The following is a 15,930-nucleotide window of genomic DNA, read 5'->3' as shown; positions in this document are numbered from 1 at the left end:
AGGGGTGGAAACAAGGCCAGCTCCCCTCTGCTCCAGGGCTTAGGATCAGCTGGGGTGGAAGCAGAGGCTGTGTTGCAATTTCACTGCAAATCAACTGGGTCATCTCTTGTGGGTGACACCATGCAGGCCTTCCAACCCTTGTGTGTGTGTGTGTGTGTGTGTGTGTGTGTGTGTGTTTTGTAGATGGGGAGATGGTATCTCCCAACTGCCTTTAGCATCTGGCTGTGAGATGAGGCTGGGGGAAGATGGAACGATATGCATTCCTGGCAGAGCCAGTGCCTCCGGAGGCATGGGGTGGAGGGGACAGGGTGGAGTCCATGTTTGAACAAGTTGAGAGCAATTGCTGGAAGAACCCTGGGCAGAAGTCCCCTCTGCAGATCAGACTTGGCCTCTACATTTGTTCTCAGGGAAGTGAAACACGTACCATCTCCCCAGTTTGGACTGTTGCAGGCTGTGACACACAGTAGCCAATTCATTGACTTGGGGCTGTCCCCTCCCACCTGGGATATTCAGTGCCCTGAAAGGCAATGAGGTGTGGTGGGAAGAACGTTGACTTTGGAATCTGACCGACTTGAAATTAAATCTCAGTTCTGCCCTGAAGCACTGGGTAACCTTGAGTAAGTCACTTAACCTCTCCGGACCCCATTTTCCTCATCTCTGAAATGGAGATAGTAACAGCTTCTGGGCAGGGTGGTTAGGAGAAGTAACAATGATAATGTGGGTGAAGGAAAATCATAGGGCAGGAACTCAATAGAAGTTAGGCACTTTTCTCCTTCCTCTTAGAATACACCCTGTCCTTCAGCCACTGCTAGGCTTGTCTTTACCATCTTGGTGGCTGCTGAAAAGCCTCATTGACTGGCTGTGCCCACCTACAGCAGTGGCCAGCAAGCATTTTCTGTAAAGGGCCAGAGGATAAATATTATAGGCTTTGCAGGCCATGTGGTCTCTGCCACAACTACTCATCTCCACTCTTGTTGCTCAAAAACAGCCATAGATGATACCAAATGAATGAGTGTGGCTCTGTTCCAATAAAACTTTATTTATAAAAATAGGCAGTGGGCCAGATTTGGCCCTCAGGCTATAGTTGCCAATGCCTGGCCTCGAGTTTCAAGTCCAAAGCCTCTGCTTTTCTCTCAAGGGACTTCCCTAGCCTGGTCTTACCTTCTTCATCCAATCCAGTTTCTAATTACTCCCCTGAGTGTTCCCCAGTATGACCCAACAGGACTCCCTTTTGGCTCAGGAAGTGTTTAGCTTCCACACCTTTGCCCATGCTTTCCTCCCTGCTTAGAACACCATCCCATTTCCTCTTCACTCTCTTCACCCTTCTAAATTCCATCCCCAGGGAACCTCCTGGGTGCCCTGTAAAATACAAGGCTCAGACCAAGGTCTCTTGATTCATCATTGGACAAGCCCATCCTTCAAGGCTGTGCTCTGGCCAGCTGTCCACAGTGATTTCTCCCTTTGAGGACTCCATGGCCCCTGCTGTTGATGCCAGGGTGGCCCTCCCATGGATCCCTGGGTTGAATTTGTGCCTCAGTCTCAATGAGGAACCCTGGAGGCTCAGTCTTCAACTTTTCTTTTCTTTTTCTTTTTCTTTTTTTGAGATGGAGTCTCTGTCACCCAGGCTGGAGTACAATGGCACAATCTTGGCTCACTGCAGCCTCCACCTCCCAGGTTCAAGCAATTCTCCTGCCTTAGCCTCTGGAGCAGCTGGGATTACAGGCACATGCCACCATGCCCAGATAATTTTTGTATTTTTAGTAGAGATGTGTTTTCACCATGTTGGCCAGGCTGGTCTCGAACTCCTGACCTCAAATGATCCACCTGCCTTGGCCTCCCAAAGTGCTGGGATTACAGGAGGGAGTCACCACACCCAAGCCAGTCCTCAACTTTTCTGTTAATACATGCAACTCACAACAACCTGCACTTTCATCCTGCCTGGAATCTTTCAGTTTTCCTGCATATGTGGGTCTGGAAAGTCTCAGGCATTATCTCTCCGAATATGGCCTCTTTCCCACTGTCTTTTTACTTTTTTGAGGGAGCACAGATTAATCATAGCTTAACCATTCTCATATTTTCCTTGTCTTTTAACCTGTCTCTCAAATTTTCCATTCTTTGGCTTCCCTGATGCATTTGTGGTAATTTCTTCAAATCTCTCTTCTCATTCATTAATTCTTTCTTTATCTGTGTGTCAAGCACATCCATTTAATTTTTAATTTCAAAGATTTCTTTTTTTCTTTTCCAGAAGTTCTACTTGATCCTTTTATAAACATCTGCCTGTACATTTTGTTGTCCCTTATTCCTCGATCCTTTGTTTCTATTCCATCATTTACTTTTTTAATACCTTGTTATTTTATAACCTATCTGATTATTGTATTATTTGAAGTCTTTGACGATCTAAATCAGTGTTTTTCAGCTGGGGGCAGTTTTTTCCTCTAGGGGACATTTGGCAATGTCTAGAGACAGTTTTGGTGGCATTGACTGGAGGTGGCAGTGGAGATGCTACTGGCATCTTGTGGGTAGAAACCAGGGCTGCTGCTAAGCATCCCCACAGTAAAGGATTTTGGTCCGAAATGTTTATAGCATTTACATTAAGACATCCTGGTTTCAATCTGTTGCTTGTTGGCTCTGCATCTGCACTCTTGCTAATGGTGACTCATTGCTTGGTCTTGAACTCCTGACCTCGTGATCCGCCCGCCTCGGCCTCCCAAAGTGCTGGGATTACAGGCGTGAGCCACCGCACCGGCCTTTTGAGTGTTTTGTTTGTTTGTTCTCTTTGATAAATCAGACAAAACACTTCTCTACAGAGGAGATTTGCGTTTGCTCCTGCCAGCCACCAGGGGGCACCACCAACCCAGGCCGCCACCCACGTGGGTAGCGTCAACTCAAACCCCCCTCTCGTGTGAAATATTTTGCGAAATTTTGCAAAATTTTGCGCATTAAATCCTGATGCCCTAGAGCTGACTTTCACATGCTGACTTTGAATTTCCCCACATCGACGCACAAATGAAGATCGGAGACTGCACGTGGTCACTGGCCACGGCTGGTCGGCCGGGAGCCAGGGTTTCAGTGGAGCTTGAGGTTAGTCCATCCTGCACCACGTGTGTCTGCATGTGACCATGTCATAGTGTGCTTCCTGCATCAGGTCCTGGAAGTGAGACAAAAACAGAAAGAGGCCAAATGCTGGTGATCGGAACTTTCCTCAAATCCTCAAACCAGGTCCCCTGTGGAAATAGGCGGATTCCATCCACCCGGCTGGCAGGGAAGTGCAAATGACCTCTGACCTCCTCTTCTCTCCTGGTCTTCTACTCTGGAGTCCAGGAGCGTATGTCAAGCACACACCTTTTCCCATGCTTCTTGTATGTGCAAAACAGACCTCAGGTACCAGGCACTCAGGTGTTTTTAATTCAGGGACTCATCAAGCCAGCCCGGTGGGGCTCTGTAAATCCAGTTAGAATTAGCCAGAGCTGGCTGACAGCAGTGCGTGTACCCATCCCTACAAAAGGCAGTTACCTGGCTACCAAAAGCCACGTTTTGCACTCAGCACACACTGACCCTGGTGTGGTGTCCTTTCCCAAGGCGCCATCTTACCCAGCCCATGCCCTCAATTAGCCTTCCTATTCATGATACAGTTAGTCCAAAGATGGAAATCACTCCACATGACTAAGGCCAGGCCTCTGGGACAGCACCGCTCTGCTCCCTTGACTTGGGTTCATCCACTGTGTGCTCAACTATGACAGGACAGACTGAAATGAAAGAGCATTATGCAATCAGAAATGGCTTTTAAAAGGAAAGGCCTAGTGAGGGGTCTTGCCCTTATCCACAATTCCAAGATCCCAAGAGTTCTCAAAACCAAAAATTTATTTTGTCAATTTGGCACAAACTCACGTGGCAGCAGAACTGGAACTGAACTGACCTGTGACTATTTGTAGTGTTTATATTCAGTAGAAATATTCATGCATTTTGCTGTGGAAATGTTGTGTGTTGATTGCAAGGTGCTTCCCCAGAATGCTAGGAGTATTGTGTAACATACAGATTTTGCACAGTGGCACCTACTAACATCATATTTCTGATTTTCAGCACACATCGGTTCCCAGCGTTCTGGATAAGGGGTTAACCCATGTTATTTACTAACTTTCAGGAAAAGATTCCCTATCCCTGCCACACACATAAGAATACATTTGAATGGGCAGGGCATGGTGGCTCATGCCTGTAATCCCAGCACTTTGGGAGGCCAGGACAGGAGGATTGCGTGCATCCAGGAGGTCAAGGCTGCAGTGAGCCATGATTGCACCACTGCTCTCTAGCCTAGGTAACAGAGTGAGACCCTGTCCTTATGCACTTAAATGTTTGTCAAATGTTTTCAAGTGCATGTTGGATGACAGCAGTGACTGTATGTAGAATGATTCATACCTCATGATCATGGTGAGGTAAATGTACAGGGATTTGAATGGGACCCACTTCTTTAGGTTCCTTCACCCCGTCCCATGATGCTGGACATCTATTAAGCACTAACCGTGTTTAGTGATTCCTTAACAAATCCTTAGCATTAGAGACTGCCGAAAACCTTTTTTGTTTGTTTTTAAAATTACACCAAGAATGCAGGAACACTATTTTATTTTTTTGTTTTTTTTGAGGCTGGGTTCTCCCTCTGTCACCCAGGCAGGGTGCAGTGGTGCAGTCTTGGCTCAATGTAGTCTTGACCTCCTGGGCTCAAGCAATCCTCCCACTTCAGCCTCCTGAATAGTTGAGACTACAGTGGTGGCACAGACCACCACTCCCAGCTAATTTTTCAGTTTTTTGTAGAGATGGGGTCTTGCCAACTTGCCCAGGCTGCTCTCGAACTCCTGGGCCCAAGTGATCCACCTGCTTCAGCCTCCCAGAGTGCTGGGATTACAGGCGTAAACTACTGTGCCCAGCTGGAACACTCTTATTGTATTAAACTGGTGCAAATGTAATTGTGATTGTTGCCATTAAAAGTAATACCGTGGGCTCAACTTTTGCCATTAAAAGTAATACTGTGTGCTCAACTTTTGCCATGAAAAGTAATGGCAAAAACTGCAATTACATGTGCACCGACTTAATAAAAGCAATACTAAAAATATACAATACAATATGAGAAACTTCTGCTTTACCAAACACCCTCACATCCCCCCGTCCCCAAAGTAACCCTATCAATACTTAAGGTACATTTTTCCTGTGCACTCTCTGAATACTTATATAGGTATGTATGTAGCTGTATACACTTAGGTTTTATAATAATATAAATGGGATTGTGCTATGCTATATATTATTCTGCATTTTGCTTTTGTTCACTTATAGGTCCTTTCATATTGGTGTATATAGATCCACTTCATTCTATGGTACAGAAATACCATAGTTTAAATAACTTCTTTTGTATAGGTTTCTAGAAGTCAGATTGCAGTATCAAAGGGCATGCAGTTTTAAATTTTGATAGGCACTGCCAAATTGCCTTTCAATAACCTCCACCAATTGATAGTACATGAAAGTTATTATTTCTCTGAATTCTTGTCAGCATTTGATATTATTAATCTTTTCTAACTTTTGCCCACCTGATAGGTAAAAATAAAATCTTAATGTTTGAGCATGCATTTCCCAGCTTACTTGTGAAGCTGAACATCTTTCTTCATTTGTTTGTTGGACATGCATGTTTCATCATTAATGAGTTGTTTGTTCATAGTCTTTGCACATTTTTCCAGGATACTTATTATCCTCTTATTGATATTTTAGGAGCTCTTTATATATGTTCTTTTAATTTATTGTCTTTTTAATTGAGATGTACTTTTCACACAGCAAAATATGCAGGTCTCAAGTGTGGAGTTTGAAGAATTCTGACAAAGATATAACTTGTGTAATCATTGCCCACATCAAGACATAAAACATCTCCATTGCTCCTGAAAGTTCCCTTGGCTCCTTTCCAGTCAATACCCAAGGGCAACCATTGTTCTAATTTCTATCACTAGTGATTACATTTGTTTCTTTCTGTACCTCATATAATGCAGTCATACAGGTAAATTCTTTCATGAATTCTGTAAGAAAGAAGAGGCAACCACAGTATGTATTTATGTATGTACTCACATGAATAACACACACGTAAAGGAATACAGGAAGAATAAACTGGAAACTAATGGAGGAGGATGGGAGGGAATTAGCATGGGAATGAAATGTCTCCAAATAGGATTTTAAATATAGTTTTGTGTTTTGAATCATTTGTACATAATTTGTACATGATTTACATGTTCAAAAAATTAAATCAAATTTAAAAAATAGGAAAAAGAAACCCTCCCCAAATTGTGCACGAAGAGAAACAAATAAACCTAATTGTAAATTAGAGAGCTTAACCACAGAGCAAAACAAACAAAAACACCAACACACACACACACACACACACACACACACACACACACGACCAAAAACCTATTCAAATAATTTTGAAAAAAATACCCTAACTATACATCTGTGGTGGGATATATTTTAAGGACAAATAAAACTACAATGATGTCTTAAGCTTTACCTAGTAGGTTTATGATAAATAGTAATGATATGGTAATTTTGAAGGAAGTTTATGTATATTAAAAAAATAAACTAGTAAATAAGAATATATTAGGAAACAAGATTCTCTATGTAAAAGAGACTCAAGTATTACAGTTTTAAGAAAATGAATAAAAACCCACCCGGATGTTAAATTTGAACAGATTCTATAATTATGAGCTCATTTTATTTTTCCTAACTCTGTCCACTGAAAAAGCCTTGACGCAATAACAGCCCAGGAGCAGAGAGACCAGCTAGTACCCAGATCTTGATTTCTAAATGCTGTTACCCACCAGGAGGAACTAAAATTTTCTGCAGAAATGGCTGACTCCAGATCCATGAAAATGAAGCTCCATGTCAAGCCTGGGATGTCTTATGGTCCCAAGAAGGAAGGATATGCTTAAAAACTACTGAGGTCACATGGAAAGGACACGGAAGCTGACTGAGGGATCTGCCTCACTAAGTTTTGGGACTACTGAGCATCAAAAAGAATGACTGTAAGGGGGCCGAGCTTGGTGGCTCATGCCTGTAATTCCAGCACTTTGGGAGGTCAAGATGGGCGGATCACGAGGTCAAGAGATCGAGACCATCCTGGCCAACATGGTGAAACCCCGTCTCTACTAAAAATGCAAAACTTGGCCGGACATGGTGGTGGGCCCTGTGGTCCCAGCTACTTGGGGAGGCTGAGGCAGGAGAATCACTTGAACCTGTGAGAGGGAGTTTGCAGTGAGCTGATATAGCGCCACTGCACTCCAGCCTGGTGACAGAGTGAGACTCCATCTCAAAACAAAACAAAACAAAACAAGAATGACTATAGTTAATTAAAATGCATTAAACAAATAGAAAATTCATGAGTTCACAGTGTATGTTGGGGGGGTGGGGGAGGGAAGTAGGCAGGAGGAAAGTTCTTTGCAAAAGAACGCCACCTGATACGTGTAGAAGGAATGAGACAGAAAGCCACCATTTTGCAACCTCCAATGTAACTCTTGATTCAGGCAGGATCATCAATAGATGCTAAATACCACTGGGTGAAGGGTTATTAGGGAACAGGATATTTGTGCAGTTGCAAAGAAACTCCCCCCAGATTACTTACTAAGTACAAAGGGGAAGAGGTACCATTATAATAGGGAGAGATGATGGTCATGCGTTTAGCCACATGCTCAGACTTAGTATCCTTTGTTAGTTTCTCAAGCTGACATCTCAGGCCTCCTGATGTAAGGTGATGAGAAGACAGTATCACCTGTGGGTATTTTTGCCAAAGTGTTTAGCCTGATATAATTAAGGCATTAGTCCCAACTTTCAGATCACAGGATTTACAGGGTATGGAGGAACAGGTTTAATGACAACAAGAAAAAATAATCGGGCTGGACCTGTAATCCCAGTACTTTGGGAGGTCGAGGCTGGAAGACGGCTTGAGGCCAGGAGATTGACACTACCTTGGGCAACATAGTAGGACAAAAAATTTTTATTAAAAGAAAAAGAAAAGAAATTGACAAAAAAGCTGACATTCACATAACATAAAATTCACCATTTTAAAGTGTGCAATTCAGCGGCATTTAGTGCATTCAAAACATGCACCCACCAAACAAATTTTTATTTAAAAAAACTCTACAAAAATGTACAAAAAAATTTTATTTAAACACAAAAAAAATTTATTTTAAAAAAAGAAAATAATAGGGCAAATCTACAGTGTGGGCCATTCTATAAGACTGTAAGGTTTGGATTCTTCAAAAAGTCAATGGTCTGGAGATAAAATTTGAGGATATTTTAGCATAAAAGAGGCCCCAATTCCACAAGTGCTGTGGGAAACAACATAGGACCCTGGTGAAAACAGTAAACAAGACCAGATGCAGTGGCTCATGAGCCTGTAATCCTAGCACTTTGGGAGGCCGAGGCGGGCAGATCACTTGAGGTCAGGAGGTCAAGAACAGCCTGGCCAACATGGTGACACACCGTCTCTACCAAAGGTACAAAAATCAGCCAGGTGTGTTGGCATGCGCCTATAATCCCAGCTACTTGGGAGGTTAAGGCGGGAGGATCCCTTGAACTGGGGAGGTGGAGGTTGCCGTGAGCTGAGATCGCACCATTGCACTCCATCCTGGGCAACAAGGGCAAAACTCCGTCTCAAAAATAAATAAATAAATAAACAAAACAGTCAACCAACCAAACAAGAAACGTATGAAAGACATATTTGGGAGGATCGGGAAATGTGAATATGGACTGGAGGCAGAAACTATATAGAATTATGGTTGATGTGGTCATGCGTGAGAATGGGTCCATGGCTATGCAGGGGAACATTCTTCTGTTCTTCTACAGAAGAGGAAATAGTAAATAGAAACATATTAAGAACACGGTTTTCTATAAAAAGGAGACTCAAGGAACTGAGGATGAAGCCTTTTTTGGTCTGTAACCTGTCTTCAAATGGTTCAGCAAAACAAATGTTTGTAGAATGAAATATGTTGCAGTATGGCAACATATTAAAATTGTTGAACAGGGCCTGGGCTATGTTTGGGCCAGCGAGGTGCCTCAGCCATGACCTTGCAGGGTCCACCCTGCCCCTTGCAGGCCCCAAGAGTGAGTGTCTTCTTCAGTGCGGTGCTGGAGGCACTTTACTGGTCTCACCCTAGTCCTGGCCCTGTGGCTGAATTTGGGTAGTGAGAAAATGAGTGTTCATTATATTATCTTTAAACTCTTCTGTATGCTTAAAAAAGATAAAATGATCCAAATGTCCATCAGCGAATGAATGTGGATAGACAAATGTGATAGACCCATATGATGGACTGTTATGCACTTACAAAAAGGAGTGCAGTACTGATGCATGCTGCAAGTGGATGAACTTACAAAAAGGCATGAAATACCGATGCCTGCTACAAGTAGATGAACATTGAAAACATCACGCTAAGTGAAGGAAGCCGCTCACAAAACACTACATATTGTATGATGATTTCTTTTATACAATATAACCAGAATAAAAGAGGAAAGAAAGAAGGAAAGAAAGAAAGAAAGGAAGAAGAAAGAAAGAAAAGAAAGAGAAAGAAGGGGAAAGGGAAGGGGAGGGGAGGGGAAGAGAAGAGGGGAGAAAAGGGGAGGGGAGGGGCAAATCCAGACAGACGGAAAGCAGATTAGAGGTTATCAGGGGTTTGGGGGAGGGAGAGGGAATGGAGAGTGCTTCCTTAATAGGTATGAGGTGTTTTTATGGGGTGATAAAAAAGTTTTGAAACTAGAGAGAGCTGATGGTTGCACAACATTTGGAATGCACTAAATGCCGCTGAATTGCGCACTTTAAAATGGTTAATTGTATGTTATGTGAATGTCATCTCAATTAAAAAAAATGATCTGAGTAAAAAGTTAAGGAACAAAATGGTCAGATGTAGGTATAAAAACGATGCCTTTTCACTTTGGGAGGCCGAGGCGGGTGGATTACTTGAGGCCAGGAGTTTGAGACCAGCCTGGCCAATATGATGAAACCCTGTCTCTACCGAAAATACAAAAATTAGCCGGATGTGGTGGTATGTTCCTGTAGTCCCAGCTACTCAGGAGGCTGAGGCAGGAGGATCGCTTGAGCCCAGAAGGCAGAGGTTGCAGTGAGCTGAGATTGCGCCACTGCACTCCAGCCTGGGTGACAGAGCAAGACACCATCTCAAAAACAAAACAAAACAAAAAGATGTCTTTTTAAGCCAGGCACAGTGGCTCATGCCTGTAATCTCAGCACTTTGAGAGGCCGAGGCAAGAGGATACCTTGAGCCCAGGAGTTTTGATACCAGCCTGGGCAGCACAGGGGGACCCCGTCTCTGTAAAAAAAAAAAAATAACAGAAAAATTAGCCAGGCATGGTGGTGCACACCCATAGTCCCAGCTGAGGAGGCTGAGGTTGGGAGGATTGCTTGAGCCTGGGAGGAGGTCGAGGCTGCAGTGAGCCATGATTGCACCACTGCACTCCAGCCTGGGTGACAGAATGAGCCCTTGCCTCAAAAAAAACATATATATGCCTTTTCAAAAGTGATGAAAATGGCACATACATGTAAAGGAAGATCCCTCAGAATTCTGGCCTGCGGAAAGGTAGCAAAGCAGTGACACAGGGTCATGTGATGTGGCCGAGCACTGGCTGCGCTGTGACACTGGGACAGTCACTTGCCCTCTCTTGAGCCGGTTTCTCCACTCTCTAGCTTTATCCCAGCTGTGGCTGCGCCTGCTCCAAGCGTTTGATGTCCCACCGGGGCCTCAGCGAGAGAGACGCTGTGCACCCGCAGCTTGCCTCCCCTTTCACCTCGCAGAGCACCTGCGCCCAGGGGGCGGAGCTTCAGGGAAATGTTCTCCTGTTCTGGGAACTCACTCGCAAGCACAGTTTCCTGACCTGACCTTAAGAGCTGGTTCCCTATGGGTGACACAGTGGTGCCAAGTGTCCCACAGGTGATGTTGATTTGGTCAGGAGGTGTGGTTGGTGAAACAGCCTCTGAGGGTTCCAGCGCGGGCGGCCCCTCCACCTGGCTCTTTCAGGGGCCTGGGGGCCAAGGCACTTGGCGCTCCAGAACAAAAGAAGAGACCCTGGTGCTTGTGATTGGCGTGGAATAAAAATAACAAAAGAACCGCTGAGCGCTTACTCCATGCCGGTTGCTGTGTTAAATGCTATGCTGGCCCCTCCTAATGGCCCTCGGATGTGGGACTGTCACTGGGTCTCATCACCAAGAGGAGGTGGAGGGCCAGGCAGGCTGAGTTAGTTGCTGAAGGCACACACAGCTGGTCAGCGGCGGGGCTGGATTCAAACCTGGATGTCTGACCCCAGAGCCTGAGCTGTCCATGAGGGAGACCCTGAATCCACCCACACACACGAAGAGAACTGTGGCCTGTTGAGCCCTACTGTGCAGTGCACCCTTTAAGCTCAGGATTGAAACTACCTCACTTACTGCTTACCACTGGCGCCATATAGCAGGCATTCTGGTATTACCTCTATTTACAGGACAGGGACTAGGGGCTCAGAGGAGTTCATTTGCCAGACATCACTCAGTGGGGACCCAAGCCAGCTCTGTCTGCAGTCCCATGGCTGACCTGTCTTTGTAGGGGGCCTCCCCTGTCATTTGCTTCTCTGAGGAGCATTTCACTCCATTTTCTAGAATGAGAAGAGCAGGAAGGCCTGTTTCTGTCAGCTTGGGTGGGCCGTCGGGCAGAGGCCTGGCTGTGTCTTTGCAGCGTGGCTTTGATGCTCCCTGGAGGAAGGAGTGTGCATGGTGGAGGAGATGGAAGCTTCCAGAAGGGAGGACACCTGAGGCAGTCTGACTGCCCACAAGCCAGGGACACAAATAGTTCTCTGAGGGAGGCCAGGGAAAGAACACAGCTGTGGACAGAATTCTGGGGACAGCCACCAGAGCTCCCTGGTGCTTTGAGGTCCCTTGAGGCAGGGAGCTGGGGACAGGAAGTCTTGGTTTTGTTTTTGAGTGTCTCTTGTGTCCATATTGGGCTGTGTCCCTTGAGGAGCCATGGAGTGGGGGCTGGCTCTGTCTGTATGTTCAGCAATGGATCCAGCAGAGAAGATGCCCAGGCTTCCAGACACCCTTGGCCACTCCAGCTTCCTAGGTGTGAATCCCTTCCTTCCTCCAGTGCTCAGAACCAGACAGAGCCAAGCTGGCTAGTTCTAGCTTATACCTATTCCTGTCAGCCTTGCGCACCTCCTGGCCCCTGCCTATCTACTCTGGCTCATGGCTGGCATTGCTCTGGTTGGCTGATGCCTGCACTTCTGAGGTGAAGGATCTTCCTGGGTTTGGGCACTGATGTGACCCCAGTCCTGGGCAGGAAGGGCTTTTAGTGGGGAGATGGAGGGCCTGGAGGATTCCCAGGGAGCACTGACTGAGGCCTGCGTGGGGAGTTGTTGCTGGAGCTGACCTGGGGCCAATCGTCCCACCTTCCATCTCTGGGTAGAGCAGGCAGGGTTTGCCAAGGGGAAGGGTCTGTAACCTTCTGGTGTATTTCTGAGGAGAAAGTTGGGCTCCCATGACCCCCTCTAGGTATGGGGTCCAATCCACTTCACAGGGATAAAGTACTAACGAGAGATCCAAGGCATGAGATTACAAGGGTGGCAAGGAGAGGACCTTGGCCAGGGCCTCTGATGTCAGAGACAAAGCAGAGGTTTTATGGCAGATGGGGGGACTCAGGCCTCCAGCATTGGAGATAGTACAGGTCCTCAGACTATGCCTGAGGGGGAGGTGGGGGGTTTGGTGGGCTTATGAAGACGTTTACCTGCTTGTATCTTTCCTTCATCCTTCCTATCTGTCCATCCCTCCCTCCATCCCTTCATCCCTCCATCCACCCATCCCTCCATCCCTCTATTCATCCATCCCTCAATCTCTCCATCCATCCATCCCTCCACCCCCATCCATCCACCCATCCCTCTCTCCATCCCTCCATCCCTCTGTCCACTTACCCTTCCATCCCTTTATCCACCCATCCCTTTATCTCTCCATCCATTCATCCATCCCTCCCTCGTTCCGCCCCTCTAGCCATCCACCCATCTCTCCCTCCATCCTTCTATCCACTCATCCTTTCTTCGCACTATTCACTCATCCCTCATCCCTCTGTCCACCCATCCACCCATTCCTCCATCCACCCATCACTCCATCCACCCATCACTCCCTCCATCCATCTACCCATCCTTTCATCTCTCCATCCATCCCTCCTTTTCTCCATCCCTCTATCCATCCACTCATCCCTCCATCCACCCATCCCTCCATCCCCCTATCCACCCATCCCTCCATCCCTCTATCCACCCATCCCTCCATCCCTCTCTCCATTCATCCCTCTATCCCTCTGCCTTTGCCTCCCTCCATCCTTCCATCCCTCCATCCCTCCATCCCTCCACCCAACCATCCCTCTATCCCTCCATCCACCCATCCCTCCCTCCATCCCTGTATCCACCCATCCTTCCATCTCCCCATCCATCCACCCATCCACCCATCCCTCCCTCCATCCCTCTAACCACCCATCCTTCCATCTCCCTATGCATCCATTCATTCATCCACTCCTCCATCCACCTCTCCCTCTCTTCATCCCTCTATCCATCCACTCATACTTACATCCCTCCATCCATTCATCCATTCCTCCCTCCCTCCTTCCCTCCTTCCCTCCATCCACCCATCCCTCTGTCCCTCTATCCACCCATCCCTCCATCTCTCCATCCATCCATCCCTATATCCTTCCATCTATTCATCCATCCCTCCCTCCTTCCACCCCTCTATCCATCCACCCATCCCTCCTTCCATCCCTCCATCCATCCCTCCCTCTCTCCATCCCTCTATACATCCCTCCCTCTCTCCATCCCTCTATACATCCACTCACTCCTCCATCCATCCCTCCATCCATTCATCAGTCCTTCCCTCCCTCCTTCCTTCTATCCATCCACGCAGCCCTCCATCCATCTCTCCATCTCTCCCTCCCTCCATCCCTCCATCTCTCCCTCCCTCCACCCCTCCATCTCTCCCTCCCTCCATCCCTCCATCTCTCCCTCCCTCCATCTCTCCATCCATCCACCCCTCCATCCACCCTTCATCCATTCATCCCTCAATTCCTCCCTCCCTCCATCCTTCTCTTCCTCCATCCCTCCCTGCCCCCCTGCCTCCCTCCCTCCCTCCATCATCATTTCATTGAGTGCCTGCTACATTCCAGACTCTGAGCTAGACTTTGGGAACAAGAGGTAAACAAAGACATAACCCTTTTTCTCAGCACTTGGAAGGGAGTCAGACAGGAAAACAGATGGTTTTGATGGAGGGGTGTGTAAAGTAGATGGCTGCTGGGGTTGTGTTCTGCCCTTGGGAGTCAAGGGAAACTTTACAGAAGAGAAACATTTGAGCAGGGTCCTGAAGGACAGGCAGGCAAGAAGGAAAGGGAAGAGCATTATGGCAGAGGAAGCAGCAGGTACAAAAACACTGTGGCATCAGAGCTAGCGTGGGGAGAGGGTGCTGAAAGGGCAGGCTGGCACCAGGGTGGGCAGGACTTGGGTGCATGCTAAGGAGTGAAGCTGTCATCCCCTAGCCCTGGGTTATCTGTGGCTCCCGGCCTCCCTGAGTGTGCCTGAAACCACCCACCTGGGCCCCTGTCAGGCTCTCCCTCCCGGGCATCATCCTTGTGCTGTCCACCCTGGCCTGCTACCCTGGAGGCTGGGGTCATGTCCATCCTGAGATAGTGAGGAGGAGGTGAGGGGACAACTGCTGGGACGGTCTGGAGCTGACTGTCACTGCAGGTGGCAGGCACATGTGGAACCCCAGGGAAGGCGTGGCAGGGGCTCATCTCTATTCCTGTCACACTCTCACCCCAGCCACGCACAAGTGAGTTCTTCCAAGTGGGTTCATTGTCTCTGCTCAAAGGCTGGGGAGGCATCCTCTGTGTGTGCTCCCTTGCCAGAGGGGAAGCGGCTGGCTCCCCACCTCCGCCAAGCCCTCCTTGTCACTGCTGCCGACTTCTTGGCACGGTGCCTCGGCCTTGTTATCATGGGCTTTGTGCTGTCACCTTTTATTACAGAGCCTTCAGAAATTCTCCGAATCGCCTCGCGGCTCGCCGGTTATCGCGCTCACCACAGCGCGCTCGCTCGCGTGAACCTCTGGGCCTAAACCGCAAGGCAGCTCGGCGCACCAGCAACTTCTGCTCCAGCCTGGGGCCCCTTCCCCTCTCCTCCCGCAGCCCAGCTGGGCCCGCCAAGCTTCTCTTTCCGTCTTTGCTTCTAAATCTTAGAAATGGAAGTGAAGCAGAGCCAGGCAGGGGCAAGCAGGTCCAGGGAGGGCCTGAGGGTCAGAGGAGGCCTGGGGAGCTCTGTTTGGAAGAAAGCTGGGTAGGGGGAGTGGACTGGGGGTGTGACAGGGTTGGGGTGCCTGCCAGAGGCACAGTGGACCTATTCTTCCAACTGGGTTCCCACTTGCTCCAGCCTGTCCAGAAGGCATGCCTCGGCCTCAGCCAGAGGGCCTCTCAAGAGAGCAAATGTGTGTGCCAGGGAGAGACAGAAACCCAGTATGACACGGACAGAGAAGAATTTATGTGAGAGGGAAAAGAGACAATTAGTCCAGATTTTTCTTATCCTCCTCCTCTGATCTCCTGATTCTTGATGACTGTCATGGGGAGTGCTTTATAACAACTGCTCAGAAAGTGTTTATTGAACAAATAAAGAACTCAGCATTTGACATCCTACTACCTGGAGATATAGTAGGCTCAGCAAGGGTGCCAGGGATTCAAGGCCCCTGCACTCCTTCCTCCCTCCAGGGTCTGACCAGTGAAGCTTCCACACACAGCGAGCACAGTTCAGAGGAGGCAAAGCCTGTATGTTAAAGGGCAGTGGGCACCTGGCATCCTTGGAAAAAGAGCATGGCCTCCACGTGAGCGCAGGAAGTGAAAGACGTGTCTC

At 47.6% G+C, this 15,930-nt stretch overlaps 3 annotated features.

Annotated features, from left to right (window-relative positions):
• Positions 284-363: an enhancer, noted in NCBI's record as "active region_9688". NCBI's record gives its function as "activates an Ori minimal core promoter by ATAC-STARR-seq in GM12878 lymphoblastoid cells {active_cell/tissue: GM12878}" and the evidence as "EXISTENCE:reporter gene assay evidence [ECO:0000049][PMID:35858748]".
• Positions 2,405-2,904: an enhancer, noted in NCBI's record as "H3K4me1 hESC enhancer chr15:70752651-70753150 (GRCh37/hg19 assembly coordinates)". NCBI's record gives its function as "activates a minimal SCP1, AML or CMV promoter by ChIP-STARR-seq in primed H9 embryonic stem cells {active_cell/tissue: H9 hESC(primed)}" and the evidence as "EXISTENCE:reporter gene assay evidence [ECO:0000049][PMID:30033119]".
• Positions 3,078-3,147: an enhancer, noted in NCBI's record as "active region_9687". NCBI's record gives its function as "activates an Ori minimal core promoter by ATAC-STARR-seq in GM12878 lymphoblastoid cells {active_cell/tissue: GM12878}" and the evidence as "EXISTENCE:reporter gene assay evidence [ECO:0000049][PMID:35858748]".

Source organism: Homo sapiens, chromosome 15 (genome assembly GCF_000001405.40).
Source record: "Homo sapiens chromosome 15, GRCh38.p14 Primary Assembly".
In the NCBI taxonomy this organism is placed as follows: Eukaryota; Metazoa; Chordata; class Mammalia; order Primates; family Hominidae; genus Homo; species Homo sapiens.
The sequence above is the reverse complement of the archived record's forward strand: the minus strand, read 5'-3'. Positions and strand labels throughout refer to the sequence as shown.